This window comes from Homo sapiens, chromosome 11, assembly GCF_000001405.40.
Source record: "Homo sapiens chromosome 11, GRCh38.p14 Primary Assembly".
NCBI lineage: Eukaryota > Metazoa > Chordata > Mammalia > Primates > Hominidae > Homo > Homo sapiens.
The window spans coordinates 134,793,991-134,795,556 of record NC_000011.10 but is presented as its reverse complement, the minus strand read 5'-3'; positions in this window follow the sequence as shown (position 1 = coordinate 134,795,556).

Genomic DNA, 1,566 nt, shown 5'->3' with positions numbered 1-1,566 from the left:
TCCAGAAGATAATACTCCTCCTCTACAAGATGATAATACTCCTCCTCCAGAAGATAATACTCCTCCTCTACAAGATAATACTCCTCCTCCAGAAGATAATACTCCTCCTCTAGAAGATAATAATACTCCTCCTGTAAATGTGCTCAGGCACTGGGAAGGATGTTAAAGTCGTGGGGACAAGAGGCAGCTGTGATACTCCTATCTCTAAACTGGAGACCAGGCTGGGCAGGAGGGTGAGGGCACACCCGGGATCTGTCCTGGGAGCTGCAGAGGGGGAGGGCTGCCTCTCCACGCATTCCCTGTCTCTGCAGGGGCAGATGGCAGACAACCAGGCCCCTCCACCCAGCACCCGGGTCAGTCAAGTTCTGCATTCAGAGGGGGCGATGGCAGCAACCACGTCCCTCTGCATGGCTGCTGGCTTCAAGGGGATATGTACATGTCAGTTCTCCTCTGGAAGGCATGTCCTCCACCCCAACCTGTGCCCTCTGTCAGCCTCCTGGGCCCAGGAAACAGTCAGAGAAAGGAACGGGTGGACAGAAGAGCGCCATGCCTGTATCTGAGCTGCCAGATGGGTCTGTGGGCTGGAGACATTTCCCTGCCCCACCTACCCTGATCCAGGATGGGGAACCCACCATCAGTGCTATGCTTCCCAAAGCAGCAGATTTTAGTTTGTACTTAAATGAAATCCAATGATGACAATTTCTAAATAATATACATCACCAATGCCACATTATAATAATTTTTGCAATGAATATATCCCATTGTTTTATCTTCTACACTGGGGGAAAATAAATGAGAGACCCAAATGTCACACATCAGCTAGAGCAAATTCGGGTCCCCAGAAAGACAACACAGGAGAGGCCAGGGAGCATCACTGAGAGTGTGAATTGCTGGGCTTCCTGTTTATTTCAGCAGGAATCTGGAATCATGCCTGCCCCGGTTAGGATTTTTCCCCTCTGCTCTCCAGACTCAGTTTATGATGAAGCCTCCTAGAGATCCTGTCTACTTGTTGAGGATGCGGCTCTGCCTCTGCTGACGACAGCCTGGCGAACAACAGTTCTACTGGACAGCCTTGGAGAGAGGAACCCGTGCTGCTGGGCTTGGGCAGAGCCTTTCCTAGACCCCTGTGCCAGAGCTGCTGGCAACGGGGGCCAAGTGGCACCCCCTGGATAGCCCTGAACCCCGGTGATCACGTGGCTCATTTGCAGTGGAGACTGGCAGGGGCTGCCCATCCCCATAGGGCCACCATGTAGCACTTCTCCAAACATCTACCATTTTCAGTGAGTTATCGTGTTACTTAATTATGAAAACACTTTTGTAATAACCACTCATTCTGATGAGTTGGCTGCGAGCAGTGCATGGTGCTAATGGCCCATGAGACACTTCAGAGGGACTGAGCACACCAGCCCTGCCTCCTCCAGGTAAACAGAGCTGCTCCCACCTTCAAGCAGTAGGTCTCACCTGGCAGGAAAGGCAATTGACGTGTGCCCTGGAGAAATGAACTATCTTTTCCTCCAAAAAGTACAATGACAAGGATATGACTTCAGGCCAGATTCATAACATCAA